Source organism: Homo sapiens, chromosome 7, assembly GCF_000001405.40.
Source record: "Homo sapiens chromosome 7, GRCh38.p14 Primary Assembly".
Taxonomy (NCBI): Eukaryota; Metazoa; Chordata; class Mammalia; order Primates; family Hominidae; genus Homo; species Homo sapiens.
In genome coordinates this window covers 150030942-150054880 of record NC_000007.14, presented here as the reverse complement: position 1 = coordinate 150054880, position 23939 = coordinate 150030942, and the positions used below count along the sequence as shown (strand labels likewise).

General features: G+C 53.1%; 1 protein-coding gene and 1 long non-coding RNA gene across 22 annotated transcripts in view, besides 5 other annotated features; one reads left to right on the top strand and one right to left on the bottom strand.

Annotated features, from left to right (window-relative positions):
* Window positions 1-23939, top strand: part of ACTR3C (actin related protein 3C) — a 442186-nt gene that overhangs the window by 268665 nt on the left and 149582 nt on the right. For 7 of the 21 annotated variants that reach the window (NR_147022.2, NR_147020.2, NR_147021.2 and 4 more), the window contains exon 1: window positions 7166-7272. The exons of the other annotated variants lie outside the window; for them this stretch is intronic. Coding sequence is in view for 4 of the 7 variants with exons in the window: in NM_001351027.2 (NP_001337956.1) it covers window positions 7220-7272 (53 nt within the window). In the remaining 3 variants the exon portion in view is untranslated. Of the gene's footprint in view, window positions 1-7165; window positions 7273-23939 lie in introns of those variants that run through there. 21 annotated transcript variants of the gene reach the window in all.
* Window positions 1167-1461: a silencer, noted in NCBI's record as "tiled region #3139; K562 Repressive non-DNase unmatched - State 21:Repr". NCBI's record gives its function as "represses a minimal TATA promoter and a strong SV40 promoter by Sharpr-MPRA in K562 cells {active_cell/tissue: K562}" and the evidence as "EXISTENCE:reporter gene assay evidence [ECO:0000049][PMID:27701403]".
* Window positions 4846-5479: an enhancer, noted in NCBI's record as "H3K4me1 hESC enhancer chr7:149746491-149747124 (GRCh37/hg19 assembly coordinates)". NCBI's record gives its function as "activates a minimal SCP1, AML or CMV promoter by ChIP-STARR-seq in primed H9 embryonic stem cells {active_cell/tissue: H9 hESC(primed)}" and the evidence as "EXISTENCE:reporter gene assay evidence [ECO:0000049][PMID:30033119]".
* Window positions 5480-6114: an enhancer, noted in NCBI's record as "H3K4me1 hESC enhancer chr7:149745856-149746490 (GRCh37/hg19 assembly coordinates)". NCBI's record gives its function as "activates a minimal SCP1, AML or CMV promoter by ChIP-STARR-seq in primed H9 embryonic stem cells {active_cell/tissue: H9 hESC(primed)}" and the evidence as "EXISTENCE:reporter gene assay evidence [ECO:0000049][PMID:30033119]".
* LOC100134040 (uncharacterized) lies at window positions 9509-13526 on the bottom strand. The gene is made up of 2 exons (NR_148939.1): window positions 13420-13526; window positions 9509-10131 (listed from the first exon to the last, which is right to left on the bottom strand). It is a non-coding gene; the product is annotated as an uncharacterized LOC100134040 (long non-coding RNA).
* Window positions 18800-19315: an enhancer, noted in NCBI's record as "H3K27ac-H3K4me1 hESC enhancer chr7:149732655-149733170 (GRCh37/hg19 assembly coordinates)". NCBI's record gives its function as "activates a minimal SCP1, AML or CMV promoter by ChIP-STARR-seq in primed H9 embryonic stem cells {active_cell/tissue: H9 hESC(primed)}" and the evidence as "EXISTENCE:reporter gene assay evidence [ECO:0000049][PMID:30033119]".
* Window positions 22695-23196: an enhancer, noted in NCBI's record as "NANOG hESC enhancer chr7:149728774-149729275 (GRCh37/hg19 assembly coordinates)". NCBI's record gives its function as "activates a minimal SCP1, AML or CMV promoter by ChIP-STARR-seq in primed H9 embryonic stem cells {active_cell/tissue: H9 hESC(primed)}" and the evidence as "EXISTENCE:reporter gene assay evidence [ECO:0000049][PMID:30033119]".

The window sequence follows — 23939 nt, the reverse complement described above, 5'->3', positions numbered from 1 at the left end:
TGCATGAAAGCAAGTTCACTGTAGTTCATCATTTCATCCTTAGAACATAGCACAATGAATGGCACATAGTCAGTGCTCAGGTGTTAACTGAATAAGTGAAATGCCTACAAGAAGCATGGACTTGACCATGCCATTTTTTCATGCATTGATTTGGCTTTAATGACACAAGCATGCTGTTTAACCAATTATCCTCAGTGACTTACCCAACAAGTATTTATTCCAAGACCCACATTTCTGCTGGTTAACTGTGATTCAGCTGGTCTACACTGGGCTCGGCTAAGAGACTGCTTTGTGCTCCCCAATTATCTGGCTTAGCCCCAGGCTGTGGGTTGTATTGAGGTCTTCTCCAAGTGTGTTTGTTCTGGGGCCAGGCTAAAGCATCGGCTGTCAATAGGGACATGTTTTTGTATGGTGGATCATCAGAGTGCAGAAGCCAGCCAGGGTATGCAAGCAGCTGCAAAGCCTCTGCCTGCATCATGTCCACGCACATCCCATTAGTCCAAGTAAGTCACATGACCAGTCTCAAAGTCAGGGTGGCAGTAGGTGTCAGGGGACAGGTTAAGATGCTTCCCTGCAGGGGGCCTGGGGTGGAGAGTAGTATTTGCTGAACAACATTCCAGTCTGTTACAGTTTTGAATATGGAAATAATGGCTTATTCCATTTAGAACTCAAAGATGAGTGTTCAGGAGCTGGATATTTATAGGTTGGAAATGCAATCACATGCTCCGCTATATTATGCTCTTGAAAGAAGACGCTGCTACTCAGACTGTCCCACTGAACATCTGAAAAGGGGGTTTGTCACATAAAGGAAGACTATTTCCTCTTCCCTCCTTATGTTTCACAGTCATTGTGTTGTTGGAAGAAGAGATGGAAAGATACACTGGAATCTGCAGTACTTGGACCTGGGGGCCAACTTGCTGGGCTTTTCTTATTTTGTTATTTCTGGCTGACAAGCCTTCTCTTTCGGGGGTGAATTAAGTTGTGCTCACGCTCAACCCTCCCTAAATCTTAGTCCAGATGCACATTTTAGAAATACACTATACCCCCTTCCTTTATTTGTAACTGCAGTAATTTTTAGTGAAGTCAAGTTTTCCACTTTCTGTAACTGTTTCTATTAGCCTGCAGGAGAGTACCAATTTACGTGGCAGGATTTGATGAGTTGACACTGGCTCTGTTTGTTTTGCTGTCAGGAAAAGACGTTGCATTTGACTGACCCTATCTTTATCCATTTTGGTTTCGCTGTTGCTTTGAAGTCAAAGCCTGAGAATGCCTCTGGGCTGATGCCAATGTCCCCAGAAGACAGTGTAAGCCCTTGTTCCCTGCGGCTCACAGACAGTTCTAAGGCTGACCATACCGCAAGCAGGACTTGGTCCTTCACAAGGCATGCCAGTGGTCAGCAGAGAGAACAGACACAAGCTTTCTCTTCTTTTCTGAATGCAGCCATCACCTCTCCTGGTTACAAAATTAAAGCACTGAAGTGCAGAGACTCATTCCTATCACTTTAACATTGAAGGGAATCATATTTAACTTAATTCACCTGACCCTAAGAAGTGTGTGGTTTGAAAAGGGCAAGGCGCTCTAGGGGCACTTTGGAGCAGAAGTCATATCTCGTTTAATCTAATACAGTTTGATCTATGAACTAAGACGTTTTGGAGAACAACATGGTTATGGTCAAATGATCACCAGGGACAAACAGAAAGAGAAGACAGTCTTCTATACCCCATGCTCCAAAAACCTAAGAGCCTTGGGAAGCACTGTGGAAACGATCATTGTGTCACCAGAAAATAGGAAATGACAGGAGTTCGTGCCTCCTCCAGGGTGAGAGGTGATTATTTGGATAATTTCTGAGGCAATGTTGGTAGCACAAGGCAAGATTTGATAACTATTCAGAGGGCAGCAAGGAAGTTTTAGAGAAAATAATATATATTCTACGTATAGCCTACAGATATTGATGCAGAGAAGGGACATGCATGAAGGCAAGACAACAGAAGTGAAGAAAGGTAGTTAGAAAGTGGGAGGAGAAGAGTCGATTATGGTTAAATGTAGAAAGGCAAGATGAAGAACTAGGGGAGAATCCTAGAGGAAGGTGGTAAGGTTGTGAGCAGCCCTCCGAGGGGCCACAGAGAAAACATGGGATGAGGTTGGCACCAGCCATTTGCGTAGGATCAAAAGCTTGTGCAGCTCACCTGGCGATAAACCTTAACACTCGTGTTAATCAACCACTGTGTTTGTGTACATGACACTAGTGTAGTTAGTTGTACGTATGTTTTGAACTGTGTAAGATCCAAGCAGTGACACAATGGTAGGGCTAAAATGCAGAGACATGTGCTATTGGGAGATTGAAGCTTAACTTTACTGATGTTAGAGAAAGGCTATTTATTGGGTTACAACAAATGATTTTACATAAAACATAATTTTTAAGTATTAAGTTGAAAAGCCCAAATTGACCCAATTCATACTTTAACTCTGTTTTTCAAAAGCCTGAAATAGCAATTATTGTGTGTGTGTGTATGTGTGTGTGTGCTGGATATTTCCTGTTTGAAGGTGTGTAAAAGGTCTTACTACCCAGCCCCTAGTGGAGAGTTCTCTTGCAAAAAACAAAAACGGAAACAAGAAACCAAACATGCTTTGAGAGATAGAGAGTGAGAAACAGATTTTCAGAGTGGAGAATATGCCTTCTATTTATGCATTTAGCATTGTGTTTTCTCAAGCTACCCAGATTTTTTAAAATTTCTCCCCGTTTATGAGTTCAAGCTGATAATATGTAAAAGACAGTGATGCCCACTGTTTTAGGGAAGACCTTCCTTCAGAGTATGCTAACTTAGCCATTTCATTTCTTCAAATATTAGTATTTGGAAAAGAAAAAACAGTCTTAAATATGGTTCTGTCCTTCTCCCTCAGCACCCAGAGAAAAGGGAAGTCAACTACAGGATATAATTCTCTCAGAAATAAGAAAACCTTTTAGCTAATAAAAATCATGCTTAGGCTGCTGAACTCAATGGATGTACTTTTGTTATTCCTACAATGCTTAGCTTGCAGGTAGACCAAAAATTTGCCTTCATTGTCATTTTAAAAATGACTATCCAACATATTTTGCAGCATCTGCCTAATCCCAATGACTTATATTTGTTTTGTAAATTTGTTCTAGGGAAAATAAACACACACCCACACCTTTGTAATAAATAGGGAAGCACTAATCATATGAAACTAGATAGAAAAATGGGTTGGGGGCATTTGGTTTGGAGCAGCATGGAAGAATTAAACTCGACATTAAATAATTTGCAAAATATTTTCAAAAATATTTTCTCACACCCAATAAGTAGGAATAAAAATCTGCTTCATCGCCACAGTGTATTTCAGACGTTCAAGGAGAAATTGAGTAGAGGGAAATATTGACATGTTTCCTTCCGAACCACTACACCTATTTTGAAATGCCCATTGGGTACTTTTGCTCCTCTTCGGGGTATCTTTTTCCTTGTTTGTGTGTGTGTGTGTGTGTGTGTGGATAAGGGGAGGTGAAAGGTGATTAGAGACAAGAATTGAATTAATTATACATCATAAACATAACATGCCATAGCTTGCCAGTCTTTAAAATTGTATCACTTCACTTATTCTAACATACTAACCACTTTATTCTTTTATATGTGGGACCACAGTGTCCTCACACCCTCGACTGCAATGTGTGTATCCGTGCTTAACACAAATTTGGATGTGTGGGTGCATAAACGTGCATGCACATACACACGAGGTATAGAACATTTATTTATTTATTTATTTAGAGATGGAGTCGTGCTCTGTCGCCAGGCTAGAATGCAGTGGCGCGATCTCGGCTCATTGCAACCTCCGCCTCCCGGGTTCAAGCAATTCTCCTGTCTCAGCCTCCTGAGTAGCTGGGACTACAGGCGCCACCATCACACCTGGCTAATTTTTGTATTTTTAGTGGAGATGGGGTTTCACCATGTTGGCCAGGATGGTCTCAATCTCCTCACCTCGTGATCCACCCGCTTCTGCCTCCCAAAGTGCTGGGATTACAGGCGTGAGCCACCGCGCCCGGCCAGAACATTCTTTAAAATGTCCCTAGAAGCACCGCGTTCAGTGTGCAAGTTGCAAGAGTATAGCCAAGCGCTTTTCAATTTGGGTAAAGGGCGCTCCATCTGGATCATCCTTGAGGAACATCCTCGTGTTCATCCATGCTGTTTCCAGTCCTCCCCAGCATTCCGGCTCCTTTCACACCTGCATCTTTCAGACGCTCGCTCTTTCCTGCCCTCCTCCCCTGCCCTCCGTTTCTTCTGCTTAATTGTGAGATTTGCTTCCCAGCACAAATTTTTATTTCAACTCTTTCCCCTGTTGCTTATGAGTTTTATGGTGATTTCATTTTATAATTTTAAGCAGAAATCGCTTATCATATTTTCTTAGATAATTTGAGATTTTAAACTTTGGTTAGATTATAGTTACCTACAATGCTTTGAGAATATAATTTTTAAAAGTGGCACATATGCTTTATCCCAATAGTATTCTATGATTAATATGCACACATCTATGAAGTATCATGTATGATACATAAACTATTCTGCATAAGTATTGTATTTTGTATAAACTATATTAGTATGACATTTAGTTTGTGTAAAAATATGCATGCATATTTCATAGATAGCATATGTATATTACATAAGTGGGACCCTAACTGCATCTATATTTAGTGAAATGTCAGGATCGCGATGCTGCGGTGAATAGCATGAGCTTTCTTTCATGTCCATGTTAGGAGAGGCAGCTTCCTCCCATCAAAAGCACAGCTGGGGCAGAGGAGGGGGTTGAGAGCAAGGTTTTCTATCTATCTAATTGTGGTGACTTTTAAAGTTTAGTTTTATGGCTCTGTTGCCTCTGTCTTCAAAGTCAAATGGAGCAGCTGAAGCTCTCCCCACCCCAGACCCACCTGCCTGGCCTCTCCCATGCAGCAAGTTTTGCTTAGCTGTTGCAATCCTGGTTTTACTTGGTTTTGTATTTGCTATTTTTTTAAAGTGTTTTTAAACTCATGTTTCTTCATAGTAAAGGGTAACTACTGTGGAGTAAACAGAAGATGAGCGTGGTACAAATTTTGGTTAAACCAAAAACTACACACTGGATTGAAAGCTTGGGGAAGGGAGGCAGGTGGAAGGGACTGAAGGGAGGTCTCTTCCCAGGAGACTTGTTCACCGGCATCCAGTATTCTCCCCCGCAGTTAGGGAAACAGAGGGAGCATGCAGTTTCAGGCCCAGGCAGGCCTCTCTCTGGGCTTGGGGCAATGCCAAGGCTGGGGGCGAGCCTGCAGTCAGCCTTGTGCGTGGCGGCCGAGCCTGTTATTTTGAAACCCTAAGTGGAAACAGGCATGGAAACCCGGAAGGAGCAGGGAGCCTTAGCAGTCCTGGGAGATGAAGCCAACGACCTACCTCCATGTGGAAGGAGGCGGCGGAATGGGCAGGGGCGGGTCTCACAGGTTCCCCCCTCTGGAGTTGGGGTTTCCCGGCCCACGTTCGCTCTCTGGATGTGATAGGTCCTTCCCGGCCGGGAAGGGCTGGAAGGGGCGCGCAAGGAGGACGTGGGGACGAGACGAGAGAGACGCGTGCCCAGCAACTCCAGAAGGACGGAGAAGAGTGCAGGAGGGAGCCGGGGAGGACGCGGGAGGGCCGGGAGGGGAAGAGAAGCCAGGCCGGGCCTGGAGCGGAGGAGCGGAGCCCGCTGGTGCGGGTGTCCACACAGGGGCGCTGGAGCGCGCCTTCCTGCGGCTGGGCAGGAGGCAAGCCCGAGAGCGCGCGGCGAGTGGAGCCATGTCGCCCTCCCTCGCTCTCGGCGGGCACAGTGAGGCGCAGGCTTTGGAAAAGTTGCGGGCAGCCGGAGAGCCGAGCCTCCGCCTGCGTTCATGATAATGAGAATGGAGTCACGGTCACAGCCGGGCTCTCTGCGGGGCGCAGCGCCCGCGAGGGGCGCCTGGGCCTCTGGGCGTCCTCTGCCGCCCCGCGACCTTTCCTGCTCTCCTCCGGAGAGAGGCGAAGGGAAGGGGCGGTTTCGGAGGGAGCTGGGCTGTGGAGGGAGGGCGGCCTCCTCACCAGCGTCGTCCGACCACCCCGCGCCCTCCTGGTGGCTCTCCCACGCCCCATTTGCACCCCAGGTCCTCGGGGTGTCTCTGGTGTTGCTTCAAGTTAGGCAAGAAGAGCTGGGGGCGCGGGGAGCCCGGCGCCGCAGCGCGTGCGTGGCTGGGGCGCCCCGGGGCCGGCTGCACCTTCAGTCGCCCCCTGGCCGGCCTGCCTGCCTCGACCTCCGCATCCCCTTGCACCGTCCGCTCGCGTGCTGCGGGGCACGCGCAGCACTACCTTCGGCGGGGCCGCAGAACCCTCAGCTCCCGGGACTCCCCCACCGCCCCCGCACCCACGACCCGCGTGGTCCCCGCCCCTCCACCCTCTTCACGCACCCTCGCACCCTTTTTGTGCGACCCCGTGCCCTCTCCGGGCTGCCAACCCCTGCCACCCAGGCGCCAGTCCCGGGCGCGGGGAGGAGGCCGGTGGGGAAGGGGGCGGAGGGGCCGGGGTGGAGGAGGAGCTGCGCGAGGGGCCTGGGGGCGGGGAGCGAGGAGAGCGCTCGGAATGTGTGCGGGTTTCTAGGTGGTGCCAAATTCTGGGGCCTAGGCATTTCCCTCGCTTTATGTTTTTGGTTTTTTTTCTTCCTTCAATCTCTTTGATTAGGCCGTACGTGGCTGTGGCAAGGAGTTGGGGAAAAAAATTATAAAAACAGGAAAGAGAGAAAGAACAGCCAGAGCCCCGGCTTCGCGAGCCGCCGGGGAGGGGGCGGAGGAGGCTGAGCCAGGTAGAGTCGCCAGCGGAGACTCGCGAGTGGCGCGCGGGAGGAGCGGTCGCCGGCGCTGGGCTTGCCTTGCTGCTGCTGCTGCCTCCCCACCGCCTTTTTTTTAATCTGGAGCGGGGTGGGGAGTGGGAACCGGAGAGAAAGCAAAATATTAAAAAGCCCTAAAGACAGCCAGCAGGAGCGCGGTGCCCGATGGCTTCGCTGTACCAGAGGTTCACCGGCAAGATCAACACCTCGAGGTCCTTCCCCACGCCCCCGGAGGCGAGTCACCTCCTGGGCGGCCAGGGGCCCGAGGAGGACGGCGGCGCAGGAGCCAAGCCCCTCGGCCCGCGGGCGCAGGCGGCGGCGCCCCGGGAGCGCGGCGGCGGCGGCGGCGGCGGCGCGGATGGCCGGCCCCGGTTCCAGTACCAGGCGCGGAGCGATGGTGACAAGGAGGACGTAAGAGCTTCTCGGGGGCGGGGGACGGCGGCGGGGGCTCCGGGCTGAGCGCGCAGCGAGACGCGTCGGCCGGGGGCATCTGTGGGGGGGGGAATCAGGCGCCCTCCCCCAGCCCACGACTCTCCGGGCGCCCCCAGACAGGCTCCGTGGCGCCAGATCGCGGTCATCGCCGTCCCGGAGGGAGCGGGTCTGTGTCTGCAGCCGCGGCGGCCGGGAGTTGGTGGCTGGAGAGAGCGGGGTTTGGGTACTGCGCCTGCTGGGATCTGGAATTCGCCTTACGTTCCCTGGATGTGCGGATGTCTGTTTTTAACAGCATGCTGCTATGGTTCCTAAGGAGAGAATTCGATCGGCCTGTGCTTACGAGTTGGTTTATTTTTTATTTATTTCGTGCTCCGGGAACACAGCCTCAGGCACCTTCTCTCCCTCCCACCTGTGTCTGGAATCTCTCCATCGTGCCCCTCCTCTCCTACTCACTCTGTCCCTTGACTCAAATGCCTCTCCTTCGTTCCTCTTCTTACTTCTCCTAGACACTTTTTCCCCCCAGCGGTGGTGGTGGTGATTATCCTTTCCGGAAAAAAAAAAATACCAAAATACTGGCATCTGAGCCCCAACCCTCTGTCCCAGGGCCCAGCAATTTTGCTGAGAGCTCTCAGGCCGTGTCTGTCTCCCCTCCCAGCCCTGGACTAGCACCTCTGCCTTAGACCGTGTTCAGTGAAAACTTCTCCGAGAGCACATTTCCTACTCTTCATGGGGGCTGGAAGCCTGGGTTTCAAAGGTTGGATTTGCACATCGCCCTAGTAACCAATGACTCATGCAGGACAGGAGCCGGACCTTAGATGGATGCGTTTAACCACCTCCTGTGGATCCCTTTCAAGGATGCAGAGGGCTGCTAGGACTTAGAAGGGAGGAAACTGTGCTTTTTCTTTGAGGCCTTCTTTTCCCAGGGAAAAGAGAAAAATCCCCGACAGGCTCTCAGAGAAACAGGTCTGGCTTGGCTGGTACAGCTCTTATAACAGCTAGGCTGTGTTGGTTTGTAGAAATTACTATGTATGCCTTTGAGGAGTTTCACAACTGCTCAACCTGGGAACCGCAGGGGTCCCACCGGCCTCTCACTTAGTCTACCCTGACGTACCCAGGGCAGTACATTGCCCGGCACTGAGTAGGTGGTTTTGGTCATTACCTCTGCAGCCTCCAGCCATGCTGTTTCCCTGTTTCATATTTCTTTAGTGCAAGAGTTGTGTTTGGGTCGGGGGGGGGGGGGCGGTGAGACATTGAGTGATTTCCCAGGGACAATTCCTAATTGCCAGATACTATGAAATCAGTGAGGTTTTGCTGTTGTTATTGGTAGTTTTTGTTTTATGAATGAAGGATGTGGAAACTTTAATGGAGATCACAAAACTTTGTGGGAGATGTGGTTTGCACACACACAGGTACACACCCCCTACAGCCCTGCGTCAGATTTTGCACGAGGTTTTGTGATTTTCTCCTGCATCATTTCCAGACTCCCCTGGTTCAATAGTCATTCAAAGGCATGTCCCTCACTTTGGTGGGCCAAGCCCTGAGGGAAATAGACAGATCCTTCAGTCATCTGGTTCAAGTCTTTGGCAAATGGTTTAATTGGGGGAGGGTGAAGAGTTCTGGAGGATTAAACTACCGAGAATCTTGGGGAAGACAGTTAAGCTGCAATGCAAACAGGAAAAATGTACTTTTTACCTTAAATCTGACTTAAAATTGTTGAATTGTGGATGTTTGGAGTGAGAACAATGTGCAGTTTTTTTCTCAACAGGCTCTAGGTGTCGCTAGGAGAAAGGAAAGGCAAGAGCTCTGAATTTTATTTCAGATGATCTCCATCTTTTTTTAAAAAATCTTAACTTGGAGTATACATGTCCTTCTTTTTATTGTGACATGTGTCTAGAAATGATTCTCACATAAACACAGGTGTCCTGAGAAACAAATCAGGGATATAACATGTACATTTTTTAATGGGGTTCTAAACAGCATCTCTAACTTAGATGTAAGTCCTGACATGCTTTTTTTTTTTTTTCTGGAAAATACACAATGTGTGTGGGTGGGCGTGTATTGTGTGTTTATATAGTATACTCCCGATATATATATGCACACATATATACTTGCCCATTATCTGCACATATATATCCGGCACACATCTGCAAAATGCATTGCACATATGTCCTTTAAATTGTATAATTAAACTCATGACACAGGCTGAATGTTGCATCCTTTAAAAACAACAACAAACTTTTATGCACTCTTCTTAGAAAAGTTCCTCAGAATTGGAAAAGTTATGCCCCCAAATTTACTAAAAGATAGATGAACATATCAAACCACTTTTCCTCCAGGAACAAAAGCTTCAATTTGCTTAAGGTGTATTGAAAAACAAAAACAAAAAAAGACATTAGGTAGAAAAACTGCTTTTTAGGTACAGATACTTGCCAAGACTGAAGAATCTAGAGTAATCATTTTGCTACCCAAATTTAAAGCTGAGGATATGCAATGAATTAGGAACACATTGCATTTTATTACGTGTCTTGCACCTGCTGACAACCTCAAGACAAACCGAGGCTTTCCTTTTCAACATCTGCAAGCAGCTGGGAGCGCGGCTACTTCGGTGGGAGCTGTCTGAAGTGCTGAAACCTTCTCTTGGCTTAGCGCAGGAGAAATCTCCATCACTCTTGCCTTTTCAGTCCTGATCCCAAGGCTGGTGGCTTTATCACTGTTCTCTGGCTTGTCAGGGAAGACTGTTCCAAGGTACAGAAACAGCTTCGCTGCCTTGGTCACTAAGATGATGGTAAGCAGCATACCTTTATAATCCTTAGGGCTTTGTACCTGTTGTCTTTCTGTCTGCAAATTGAGAAATATAGTTCTTGGCTTCTGTGCATGTGTGTACACCTACATGCCTGAGTATGACTGAGAATGGGCAGTTACCCAGCCACACCCCAAATAAAATTTATGGTAGTCTAACAAGGCTAACACAGAGAAATAAAATGCGGAGATAGAATGGCTAGAATTAATAATGCAGGGTCTAAATGCACAAACTACACAGGCAACAAAGGGACTTCCCAACTGTGTGGCTCCACAGGAAAGCCTGTTTTGGGTGGGTCAGTACTAACATGCAAAGTCTGACTTCAAAATAGAAATAAAACCAGAGGGTCTTCTCTATCCACTTCCTTGTAAATCTTAGATTTATTTAAATATAAAGTCAATTACTTGGGCAACTCCTCTGAGGAATCAATAGCCCTTCTGATTTAAAATTCATTGTGTAGGTTTAAAAATAAGTTGACTCTTAAAGGAATTGTTGCTGGAAGTGACTTTTAGTGGAATTTATTAACTTTCATTTGGATTAACTGTGGCTAATTTTAAAATACTGAACTTTGTCATCCGCCTGCTTGAACATTTCTTTTTAGTTTTTTAAAGGGCTTTGGAGGCCTTCTGTACCATTAGAGCAGTAGTTTTTTTAAGGTTATACAGTGTGTTCCTGTATCCTTCATTTTCAGTGACATGTGGCTTCTTTGCAATACAAATGTGATGACAACAGGATTTTAAAGCAGCAAATTGGTTAAAACTGGGAGACATTAGCAAATCACCACCCATGATGTCCACCAGCCTTGGAAGGGCCAATTTCATCATCCGCTATGTCTTCGACAACCAACCAATCTTTTTTCCTCCACCTTGGTTTTCCATTGGTATAATGTCAACATTCTGTTAATGTGTCCTTGGGATCTATCAACTTTACGATTTCTTAACTAGCTTCTCTCTACAAATATGTTTATATACTCTACTCTATTACTTTTCTTCTGTTTCAACTGTAATTTAAAATTTTTTAAGTTTCACATGATTTTCCTAATAAATGAGAAAAAGTCTAAATCTTTCAACTGTCTACTTGATCCCATTACTCTCATCACCAATAGGACCAGTGCTTGGTGTACCCACCTACAGAATAGCCATGGATATTGCAGGAGCATGGAGAGTTGCAATGTTGCCCTCTCTTGATCCCACTGGCGCCTACAAAGTGGGAGCCATGAGGCCAGGTACTGAGAAGTGCCCAGTGAATACATGCTGCTGCTGTTACTAATATTACTGTTTCTAAAGGATGGCCACCCTGTTTGAGGGCCTTGGCAGCAACTGCCCAGCTAGTACAAGAAGCAAAAAAGCTGACTCTTGGGCAAAACCTGAACATAAAGGCCTCCCATTTCGTGGTGGTTGAGAGCCAGCCCCTCTTCCCCCTCTGGCTCTTGTGACCCCCATCACAGGGTGGGGAGACACCCCCCGCAAGGCGGGGACTGAGAGCCAGCCCCTCTTCCCCCACTGGCTTAGGACGCCCATCGGGGATCCTAAGATCCTTAGGAACCACCTGGAGGACTGTGGGTATGAGGTGTTCAAGAAGAAAGCTCAAATCTTCCGACGGCAGGTACCTTGCGTGGGATTTACAATAAGACATGGGTCCGAACGCAGCTCGGGAACAGAAAGAAAGCAGGTTATTTGCAATCTACCGGAGCTTAAGGGCAGAAGGCAGGTGAGAGAATTCTTAGGAGCTGTGGGGTTTTGTAGACTGTGGATCCCAAACTTTGCAGTATTAGCCAAGCCTTTGTATGAGGTCACAAAGGGGGCGGGGACCCGGAAACTTTGAAATGGGGATCCCGACAACAGCGAGTCTTTCATTAGTTAAAGGAAAAACTTCTGGCAGCCCCAGCCCTGGGGCTACCCGATCTGACAAAGCCTTTTCCATTGTATGCGTCAGAGAGAGAAAAGATGGCAGCTGGACTTTTAACCCAAACTGTGGGGCCCTGGCTGAGGCCGGTAGCCTACGTCTCTAAACAACTAGACAGGTTTCTAAAGGATGGCCCCCCTATTAGAGGGCCTTGGCAGCAACTGCCCTGCTAGTACAAGAAGCAAATAAGCTGATTCTTGGGCAAAACCTGAACATAAAGGCCCCCCATTTTGTGATGGCTGAGATCCATCCCCTCTTACCCCCTGGCTCTTGGGACTCCCATCGCAGTGGGGGGAGGCACCCCCCGCGAGGCGGGGACTCAGAGCCAACCCCTCTTCCCCCCCTGGCTCTTGGGACCACTATCGCAGGGGGCGAGGCAATCCCCGCGAGGCGGGGACTGCGAACCTCCCCCTTTCCTCCCCTGGCTCTTTGCACCCTCATCACAGGGGAGGAGGCACCCCTCGCGACGCGGGGACTGAGAGCGAGCCCCTCTTCCCCCCTTTGCTCTTAGGACCCCCATCGCTGGGGGCGGAGGCACCCCCCGCGAGGCAGGGACTGAGAGCCAGTCCCTCTTCCCCCCCTGGCTCTGGGGACCCCCATCGCAGGAGGGGGAGGCACCCACCGCAAGGGTGGGGACTGAGAGTTATCCCCTCTTCCACCCCCGGCTGTTGCTACCCTCATCGCAGGGGGGGGGAGGCACCCCCCGCGAGGCAGGGACTGAGAGCCAGCCCCTGGTTCCCCCACTGGCTCTTAGGACCCCCATCGCAGAGGGGGGAGGCACCCCCCGCGAGGCAGGGACTGAGAGCCAGACCCTCATCCCCCCCTGGCTTAGGACCCCCCATCGTTGCTCCTAAGATCCTTAGGACCCACCTGGAGGACTGTGGGTGTTAGTTGTCCAAGTAGAAAGTTCAAATCTTCCGACAGCAGGTACCTTACGTGGGATTACTGAGAGCCAGACCCTCTTCCCCCCCTGGCTCTGAGGACCCCCATCGCAGGAGGGGGAGGCAACCCTCACGAGAGTGGGGACTGAGAGCTATCCCCTCTTCCACCCCTGGCTCTTAGTACCCCCATCGCAGGGGGGGAGGCACCCCCCGCGAGGCAGGGACTGAGAGCCAGTCCCTCTTCCCCCCCCTGGCTCTTAGGACCCCCATCGCAGGAGGGGGAGGCACCCCCCGCGAGGGTGGGGACTGAGAGTTATCCCCTCTTCCACCCCCGGCTGTTGCTACCCTCATCGCAGGGGGGGGGAGGCACCCCCCGCGAGGCAGGGACTGAGAGCCAGCCCCTGGTTCCCCCACTGGCTCTTAGGACCCCCATCGCAGAGGGGGGAGGCACCCCCCGCGAGGCGGGGACTGAGAGCCAGACCCTCTTCCCCCCCTGGCTTAGGACCCCCCATCGTTGCTCCTAAGATCCTTAGGACCCACCTGGAGGACTGTGGGTTTTAGGTGTCCAAGTAGAACGTTCAAATCTTCCGACGGCAGGTACCTTACATGGGATTTACGATCAGACGGGTCCGAACGCAGCTCGGGAACAGAAAGAAAGCAGGTTATTTGCAATCTACCGGAGCTTAAGGGCAGAAGGCAGGTGAGAGAATTCTTAGGAGCTGTGGGGTTTTGTAGACTGTGGATCCCAAACTTTGCAGTATTAGCCAAGCCTTTGTATGAGGTCACAAAGGGGTCGGGGACCCGGAACTTTTGAAATGGGGATCCCAACAACAGCAAGTTTTTCATGAGTTACAAGAAAATCTTCTGGCAGCCCCAGCCCTGGGGCTACCCGATCTGACAAAGCCTTTTCCATTGTATGCGTCAGAGAGAGAAAAGATGGCAGCTGGACTTTTAACCCAAACTGTGGGGCCCTGGCTGAGGCCGGTAGCCTACGTCTCTAAACAACTAGACAGGGTTGCTAAAGGACGGCCTCCCTATTTGAGGGCTTTGGCAGCAACTGCCCTGCTAGTACAAGAAGCAAATAAGCTGACTCTTGGGCAAAACCTGAACATAAAGGCCTCCCATTTCGTGGTGGTTGAGAGCCAGCCCCTCTTCCCCCTCTGGCTCTTGTGACCCCCATCACAGGGTGGGGAGACACCCCCCGCAAGGCGGGGACTGAGAGCCAGCCCCTCTTCCCCCACTGGCTTAGGACGCCCATCGGGGATCCTAAGATCCTTAGGAACCACCTGGAGGACTGTGGGTATGAGGTGTTCAAGAAGAAAGCTCAAATCTTCCGACGGCAGGTACCTTGCGTGGGATTTACAATAAGACATGGGTCCGAACGCAGCTCGGGAACAGAAAGAAAGCAGGTTATTTGCAATCTACCGGAGCTTAAGGGCAGAAGGCAGGTGAGAGAATTCTTAGGAGCTGTGGGGTTTCGTAGACTGTGGATCCCAAACATTGCAGTATTAGCCAAGCCTTTGTATGAGGTCACAAAGGGGGCGGGGACCCGGAAACTTTGAAATGGGGATCCCGACAACAGCAAGTCTTTCATTAGTTAAAGGAAAAACTTCTGGCAGCCCCAGCCCTGGGGCTACCCGATCTGACAAAGCCTTTTCCATTGTATGCGTCAGAGAGAGAAAAGATGGCAGCTGGACTTTTAACCCAAACTGTGGGGCCCTGGCTGAGGCCGGTAGCCTACGTCTCTAAACAACTAGACAGGTTTCTAAAGGATGGCCCCCCTATTAGAGGGCCTTGGCAGCAACTGCCCTGCTAGTACAAGAAGCAAATAAGCTGATTCTTGGGTAAAACCTGAATATAAAGGCCCCCCATTTTGTGATGGCTGAGATCCATCCCCTCTTCCCCCCTGGCTCTTGGGACTCCCATCGCAGTGGGGGGAGGCACCCCCCGCGAGGCGGGGACTCAGAGCCAACCCCTCTTCCCCGCCTGGCTCTTGGGACCACTATCGCAGTGGGGGAGGCAATCCCCGCGAGGCGGGGACTGCGAACCTCCCCCTTTCCTCCCCTGGCTCTTTGCACCCTCATCGCAGGGGAGGAGGCACCCCTCACGACACGGGGACTGAGAGCGAGCCCCTCTTCCCCCCTTTGCTCTTAGGACCCCCATCGCTGGGGGCGGAGGCACCCCCCGCGAGGCAGGGACTGAGAGCCAGTCCCTCTTCCCCCCCTGGCTCTGGGGACCCCCATCGCAGGAGGGGGAGGCACCCCCCGCGAGGGTGGGGACTGAGAGCCAGACCCTCTTCCCCCCCGGCTTAGGACCCCCCATCGTTGATCCTAAGATCCTTAGGACCCACCTGGAGGACTGTGGGTGTTAGTTGTCCAAGTAGAAAGTTCAAATCTTCCGACGGCAGGTACCTTACGTGGGATTACTGAGAGCCAGTCCCTCTTCCCCCCCTGGCTCTGGGGACCCCCATCGCAGGAGGGGGAGGCACCCCCCACGAGAGTGGGGACTGAGAGCTATCCCCTCTTCCGCCCCTGGCTGTGAGTACCCCCATCGCAGGGGGGGAGGCACCCCCGCGAGGCAGGGACTGAGAGCCAGTCCCTCTTCCCCCCCGGGTTCTTAGGACCCCCATCGCAGGAGGGGGAGGCAACCCCACGAGGGTGGGGACTGAGAGCTATCCCCTCTTCCGCCCCTGGCTGTTGGTACCCCCATCGCAGGAGGGGGGAGGCACCCCCCCGAGGCAGAGATTGAGAGCCAGCCCCTGGTTCCCCCACTGGCTCTTAGGACCCCCATCGCAGAGGTGGGAGGCACCCCCCGCGAGGCGGGGACTGAGAGCCAGACCCTCTTCCCCCACCGGCTTAGGACCCCCGATCGTTGATCCTAAGATCCTTAGGACCCACCTGGAGGACTGTGGGTGTTAGTAGTCCAAGTAGAAAGTTCAAATCTTCCGACAGCAGGTACCTTACGTGGGATTACTGAGAGCCAGACCCTCTTCCCCGCCCCCCGGCTCTGAGGACCCCGATCGCAGGAGGGGGAGGCACCCACCACAAGAGTGGGGACTGAGAGCTATCCCCTCTTCCACCCCTGGCTGTTAGTACCCCCATCGCAGGGGGGAGGCACCCCCCGCGAGGCAGGGACTGAGAGCCAGCCCCTGGTTCCCCCACTGGCTCTTAGGACCCCCATCGCAGAGGGGGGAGGCACCCCCCGCGAGGCGGGGACTGAGAGCCAGACCCTCTTCCCCTCCTGGCTTAGGACCCCCCCATCGTTGCTCCTAAGATCCTTAGGACCCACCTGGAGGACTGTGGGTGTTAGGTGTCCAAGTAGAAAGTTCAAATCTTCCGACCTTACGTGGGATTTACGATCCGACGGGTCCGAACGCAGCTCGGGAACAGAAAGAAAGCAGGTTATTTGCAATCTACCGGAGCTTAAGGGCAGAAGGCAGGTGAGAGAATTCTTAGGAGCTGTGGGGTTTTGTAGGCTGTGGATCCCAAACTGCAGTATTAGCCAAGCCTTTGTATGAGGTCACAAATGGGGCGGGGACCCGGAACTTTTGAAATGGGGATCCCAACAACAGCAAGTTTTTCATGAGTTACAAGAAAATCTTCTGGCAGCCCACCCGACCTGACAAAGCCTTTTCCATTGTATGCGTCAGAGAGAGAAAAGATGGCAGCTGGACTTTTAACCCAAACTGTGGGGCCCTGGCTGAGGCCCGTAGCCTACGTCTCTAAACAACTAGACAGGGTTGCTAAAGGATGGCCCCCCTATTTGAGGGCCTTGGCAGCAACTGCCCTGCTAGTACAAGAAGCAAATAAGCTGATTCTTGGGCAAAACCTGAACATAAAGGCCCCCCATTTTGTGATGGCTGAGATCCATCCCCTCTTCCCCCCTGGCTCTTGGGACTCCCATCACAGGGGGGGAGGCACCCCCCGCGAGGTGGGGACTCAGAGCCAACCCCTCTTCCCCCCATGGCTCTTGGGACCACCATAGCAGGGGGGGAGGCAATTCCCGCGAGGCGGGGACTGCGAACCTCCCCCTTTCCTCCCCTGGCTCTTTGCACCGCCATCGCAGGGGGGGAGGCACCCCTCGCGACGCGGGGACTGAGAGCGAGCCCCTCTTCCCCCCTTTGCTCTTAGGACCCCCATCGCTGGGGGCGGAGGCACCCTCCGCGAGGCAGGGACTGAGTGCCAGTCCCTCTTCCCCCGCTGGCTCTGGGGACCCCCATCGCAGGAGGGGGAGGCACCCCCCGCGAGGGTGGGGACTGAGAGCCAGACCCTCTTCCCCCCTGGCTTAGGACCCCCCATCATTGATCCTAAGATCCTTAGGACCCACCTGGAGGACTGTGGGTGTTAGTTGTCCAAGTAGAAAGTTCAAATCTTCCGACGGCAGGTACCTTACGTGGGATTACTGAGAGCCAGTCCCTCTTCCCCCCCGGGTTCTTAGGACCCCCATCGCACGAGGGGGAGGCACCCCCCGCGAAGGTGGGGACTGAGAGCTATCCCCTCTTCCACCCCCGGCTGTTGCTACCCCCATCGCAGGGGGGGGAGGCACCCCCCGCGAGGCAGGGATTGAGAGCCATCCCCTAGTTCCTCCACTGGCTCTTAGGACCCCCATCGCAGAGGGGGGAGGCACCCCCCGCGAGGCGGGGACTGAGAGCCAGACCCTCTTCCCCCCCCGGCTTAGGACCCCGCATCGTTGATCCTAAGATCCTTAGGACCCACCTGGAGGACTGTGGGTGTTAGTTGTCCAAGTAGAAAGTTCAAATCTTCCAACGGCAGGTACCTTACGTGGGATTACTGAGAGCTATCCCCTCTTCCGCCCCTGGCTGTTACTACCCCCATCACAGGGGGGGAGGCACCCCCCACGAGGCAGGGACTGAGAGCCAGTCCCTCTTCCCCCCCTGGCTCTTAGGACCCCCATCGCACGAGGGGGAGGCACCCCCCGCGAGGGTGGGGACTGAGAGCTATCCCCTCTTCCGCCCCTGGCTGTTGGTACCCCCATCGCAGGGGGGCGGAGGCACCCCCCGCGAGGCAGGGACTGAGAGCCAGCCCCTGGTTCCCCCACTGGCTCTTAGGACCCCCATCGCAGAGGGGGGAGGCACTCCCCGCGAGGCGGGGACTGAGAGCCAGACCCTCATCCCCCCCTGGCTTAGGACCCCCCATCGTTGCTCCTAAGATCCTTAGGACCCACCTGGAGGACTGTGGGTGTTAGGTGTCCAATTAGAAAGTTCAAATCTTCCGACGGCAGATACCTTACATGGGATTTACGATCCGACGGGTCCGAACGCAGCTCCAGCTCGGGAACAGAAAGAAAGCAGGTTATTTGCAATCTACCGGAGCTTAAGGGCAGAAGGCAGGTGAGAGAATTCTTAGGAGCTGTGGGGTTTCGTAGACTGTGGATCCCAAACATTGCAGTATTAGCCAAGCCTTTGTATGAGGTCACAAAGGGGTCGGGGACCCGGAACTTTTGAAATGGGGATCCCAACAACAGCAAGTTTTTCATGAGTTACAAGAAAATCTTCTGGCAGCCCCAGCCCTGGGGCTACCCGATCTGACAAAGCCTTTTCCATTGTATGCGTCAGAGAGAGAAAAGATGGCAGCTGGACTTTTAACCCAAACTGTGGGGCCCTGGCTGAGGCCCGTAGCCTACGTCTCTAAACAACTAGACAGGGTTGCTAAAGGATGGCCCCCCTATTTGAGGGCCTTGGCAGCAACTGCCCTGCTAGTACAAGAAGCAAATAAGCTGATTCTTGGGCAAAACCTGAACATAAAGGCCCCCCATTTTGTGATGGCTGAGATCCATCCCCTCTTCCCCCCTGGCTCTTGGGACTCCCATCGCGGGGGGGGAGGCACCCCCCACGAGGCGGGGACTCAGAGCCAACCCCTCTTCCCCCCCTGGCTCTTTGCACCCCCATCGCAGGGGGGGGAGCACCCCTCGCGACGCGGGGACTGAGAGCGAGCCCCTCTTCCCACCTTTGCTCTTAGGACCCCATCGCTGGGGGCGGAGGCACCCCCCGCGAGGCAGGGACTGAGAGCCAGTCCCTCTTCCCGCCCTGGCTCTGAGGACCCCCATCGCAGGAGGGCGAGGCACCCCCCGCGAGGGTGGGGACTGAGAGCTATCCCCTCTTCCGCCCCTGGCTGTTGGTACCCCCATCGCAGGGGGGGAGAGGCAACCCCCGCAAGGCAGGGACTGAGAGCCAGTCCCTGGTTCCCCCACTGGCTCTTAGGAACCCCATCGCAGAGGGGGGACGCACCCCCCGCGAGGCGGGGACTGAGAGCCAGACCATCTTCACCCCCTGGCTTAGGACCCCCATCGCTGATCCTAAGATCCTTAGGACCCACCTGGAGGACTGCGAGTGTTAGTTGTCCAAGTAGAAAGTTCAAATCTTCCGACGGCAGGTACCTTACGTGGGATTACTGAGAGCCAGTCCCTCTTCCCCCCCGGCTCTGCGGACCCCCATCGCAGGAGGGGGAGGCACCCCCCACGAGAGTGGGGACTGAGAGCTATCCCCTCTTCCGCCCCTGGCTGTTACTACCCCCATCGCAACGGGGGAGGCACCCCCCGCGAGTCAGGGACTGAGAGCCAGTCCCTCTTCCCCCCCTGGATCTTAGGACCCCCATCGCACGAGGGGGAGGCACCGCCCGCGAGGGTGGGGACTGAGAGCTATCCCCTCTTCCGCCCCTGGCTGTTGGTACCCCCATCGCAAGGGGGGGGAGGCACTCTCCACGAGGCAGGGACTGAGAGCCAGCCCCTGGTTCCCCCACTGGCTCTTAGGACCCCCATGGCAGAGGTGGGAGGCACCCCCCGTGAGGCGGGGACTGAGAGCCAGACCCTCTTCCCCCCCTGGCTTAGGACCCCCATCGTTGATCCTAAGATCCTTAGGACCTACCTGGAGGACTGTGGGTTTTAGGTGTCCAAGTAGAAAGTTCAAATCTTCCGACGGCAGGTACCTTACGTGGGATTACTGAGAGCCAGTCCCTCTTCCCCCCCTGGCTCTGAGGACCCCCATCACAGGAGGGGGAGGCACCCCCCACGAGAGTGGGGACTGAGAGTTATCCCCTCTTCCGCCCCTGGCTGTTAGTACCCCCATCGCAGGGTGGGGGAGGCACCCCCCGCGAGGTAGGGACTGAGAGCCAGCCCCTGTTCCCCCACTGGCTCTTAGGACACCCATCGCAGAGGGGGGAGGCACCCCCCACGAGGCGGGGACTGAGAGCCAGACCCTCTTCCCCCCCTGGCTTAGGGCCCCCTTCGTTGATCCTAGGATCCTTAGGACCCACCTGGAGGACTGTGGGTATTAGGTGTCCAAGTAGAAAGTTCAAATCTTCCGACGGCAGGTACCTTACGTGGGATTTACGATCCGACGGGTCCGAAGGCAGCTCGGGAACAGAAAGAAAGCAGGTTATTTGCAATCTACCGGAGCTTAAGGGCAGAAGGCAGGTGAGAGAATTCTTAGGAGCTGTGGGATTTTGTAGACTGTGGATCCCAAACTGCAGTATTAGCCAAGCCTTTGTATGAGGTCACAAAGGGGGCGGGGACATGGAAGTTTTGAAATGGGGATCCCAACAACAGCAAGTTTTTCATGAGTTACAAGAAAATCTTCTGGCAGCCCCAGCCCTGGGGCTACCCGATCTGACAAAGCCTTTTCCATTGTATGCGTCAGAGAGAGAAAAGATGGCAGCTGGACTTTTAACCCAAACTGTGGGGCCCTGGCTGAGGCCGGTAGCCTACGTCTCTAAACAACTAGGTTTTTAGTTGCTAAAGGATGGCCCCCCTATTTGAGGGCCTTGGCAGCAACTGCCCTGCTAGTAAAAGAAGCAAATAAGCTGATTCTTGGGCAAAACCTGAACATAAAGGCCCCCTATTTTGTGATGGCTGAGATCCATCCCCTCTTCCCCCCGGTTGTTGGGACCTGCATCGCGGGGTGGGAGGCACCCCCCGCGAGGCGGGGACTCAGAGCCAACCCCTCTTCCCCCCCTGGCTCTTGGGACCACCATCGCAGGGGGGCAGGCAATCCCCCCGAGGCGGGGACTGCGAACGTCCCCCTTCCCCCCCTCGCTCTTTGCACCCCCATCGCAGGGGGGGAGGCACCCCTCGCGACGCGGGGACTGAGAGCGAGCCCCTCTTCCCCCCTTTGCTCTTAGGATCCCCATCGCTGGGGGCGGAGGCACCCCCCACGAGGCAGGGACTGAGAGCCAGTCCCTCTTCCCCCCCTGGCTCTGAGGACCCCCATCGCAGGAGGTGGAAGCACCCCCCACGAGGGTGGGGACTGAGAGCTATCCCCTCTTCCGCCCCTGGTTGTTAGTACCCCCATCGCAAGTGGGGGAGGCACCCCCCGCGAGGCAGGGACTGAGAGCCACTCCCTTTTCCCCCTCTGGCTCTTAGGACCCCCATTGCAGCGGGGGGAGGCACCTCCTGCGAGGCGGGGACTGAGAGCCAGCCCCTCTTCCACCCCTGGCTTAGGACCCCCATTGTGGATCCTCAGATCCTTAGGACCCACCTGGAGTACTGTGGATATTAGGTGTCCTAGAAGAAAGTTCAAATCTTCCGACGGCAGGTGCATGAGAGTCTGCATGAAACCCTAATAAAAAAGACAGTGAAGGAGAATCATGTCAGGAGCTGATACTCATGAGTCTCGGGAAGCCTCCAGGGACAGAGCACAGCTAGAGCATCCAAGAATGAGAAGAGCCCTAGAGCAAACGCAAAGCCCAGGAAGAGATAATTGGTTTGAGAAGAAAAGGGTCCAGGAGCTTTTGCAACCCAGCTAGCAAGCAGAGTCCTGGGCTGATCAGAGTGGGGAAAACCCACCGAGTTGTTCAATGGTAGGACAAACAGAGCCCTGCTGCAGGGAGGGGACACTCATCTACCCTGTACCCCCATACACCTCTGTCCCACTCCCCGTTCAGGCTGACAATGTGCTCACCACACAGCAGAACCTCCTGGTCTTGATTGTTGGGGCCCTCGCAATCATTGCACTGGCCCGTCCTGCCATCTGACCAGAGCTCTTCCCTGCTACGCTCTTCTGTGAGTCTCCAGCAGACCTTTTGCACATCAGCAAGCTGGGCAGCGTCAAGTGCCCGGAATCCACCCCATGCCTTCCCACCTCTGGACATTTGCTCATGGTTCATTTCATGGCCATTGAACTTGTCTTGGTCAGTTTTCTTTCAGCTCTCAGTGATAGACACATTCCACGACGACCTACAGAGAAAAAAAAAGGCACAAATTGTATAGCAAACCACTACCTCTACTAAAGTAACCTATTGTTCTTTAGAACTGAAGACCAGAGGCTGTGGGACTTCACTCTTATCTGGGATGTGGTGCTGACATGATATTCCCAAAACTCTTTCTGTCTGTCTCCCTAACTCTCAGATTTACTTTCCTCTGTGGGTGTTAATCTCAAGCAGATAGCAAAGGTAGTTTCTGCTCTAAGCTCATGAAGTTTTACACTTCCTAACGAGAGAGGAAGACAGAGGCATGCTCTCTCCCAGGGTCTACATGTGAAATCTCATTCAGGGTTTCTGGTTGATCCAGCACTGGTCACATGGCCCAGCCACTTGGAGTCAGTTGTGTTGTCAGGGCCTGCACCGCAAGCACGTTGCACAGACAGGAACAGGACTGGCCAGGGAGGGAATCTCCATTAGGACAAAGTGGTTCTGCAGACCTTGCAGCGTCTCATCCTCAAATGCCTTTTCCTTACAAGAGCTTCCTCTCAAAATGCACCCCTCCTTTCAGGTCCCATTCTAATGCTGTCACCTCCAAAGCAGCAACCTCATCTACCTGTCTCAACTCCCTAAATGGGTGACTGTTCCTGCATCTGAATTTCCATAGCATTATCATGACACACCATCCTCACCATCGTCACTATCTTACCTGTAATCATAGCTGCTTGTGATGAGCAGCAGCTGCAAGGACAGACATCACTGCCACTTAAACCAGCTCCAACAAGGCAGAGATGAAATAGACCGGAAGAAGGGGCAAGGCTGTGAGGGCCCTGGGAGCAAGCAGGGACACCTCCCATCACTCTTAGAGGGCCCTGGGAGCAAGCAGGGACACCTCCCATCACTGGCTGCCATACAGGGTGAAAACAATACAGCCTGAGTGCCCACATTCCATTCCAACATTCCCCCCAGTAAGAACAAAACAGGAAGGGCCCAAGGAAAACACAACCAGCAGTGAAGTGGAGCTCTGTCCTCTTTGCTGTCCTCACTGGCCGGGTGCACAGGCCAGGCCCTACTGAATACCACTACGTAAGCAGTTACACCATGGTCCTAGTACCCCCACCCCCGAGAGCAGAAATTGTAAGCAAATTGTCCATCAAGGTATAATGGCAAAAGGCACAAATTAGGACCAGGCCAATGGTATAAATACACCTGCCTGTCACTCAGCCCCTAGAGCTCCTTGGAGAAGCCTGAGTCCTGTGTTCCACCGACATCAGTGGCATAGAGGCCCTGAGTTGGACTCAGGTTTTACTCAGGGACTGGGTTTTCCTCAGGGAATGGGGCAAGTTCCTGGGGGCCAAGGATGTCTTCTGACTGGCCTGCATGAGGGCTTCAGGAGGTGAGTTGTTTTATCCTCCTAAGAAGCCGCCTTGGTATCCCACTGGCCTTAAGCAGGCCCAGAATACCCGTAATTTTTCCTGTTGGAGACCCTCACATTCTTCTAAGCCTCACCTTCACACTTCTGTGACTACTGAAATATCAGCCACGGCTAGGTTCAGATTTGTTTTTTTTTTTTTACTTTTTTTTTTTAAATTTGGGACAGAGTCTCTCTCTGTTACCCAGGCTGGAGTGCAGTGATACAATCTCAGCTCACTGTAACCTCTGCCTCTCGGGTTCAAGTGATTCTCCTGCCTCAGCCTCCTGAGTAGCTGGGATTACAGGCACACACTAGCATGCCTGGCTAATTTTTGTATTCTTAGTAGAGATGGGGTTTCACTATGTTGGCCAGGCTGGTGTTGAACTCCTGGCCTCAGGTGATCTGCCTGCCTTGGCCTCCCAAAGTGTTGGGATTACAGGTGTGAGTCACTGTGCCCAGCCTCAGATTTTTTTACAATGATGCCACATTGCAAT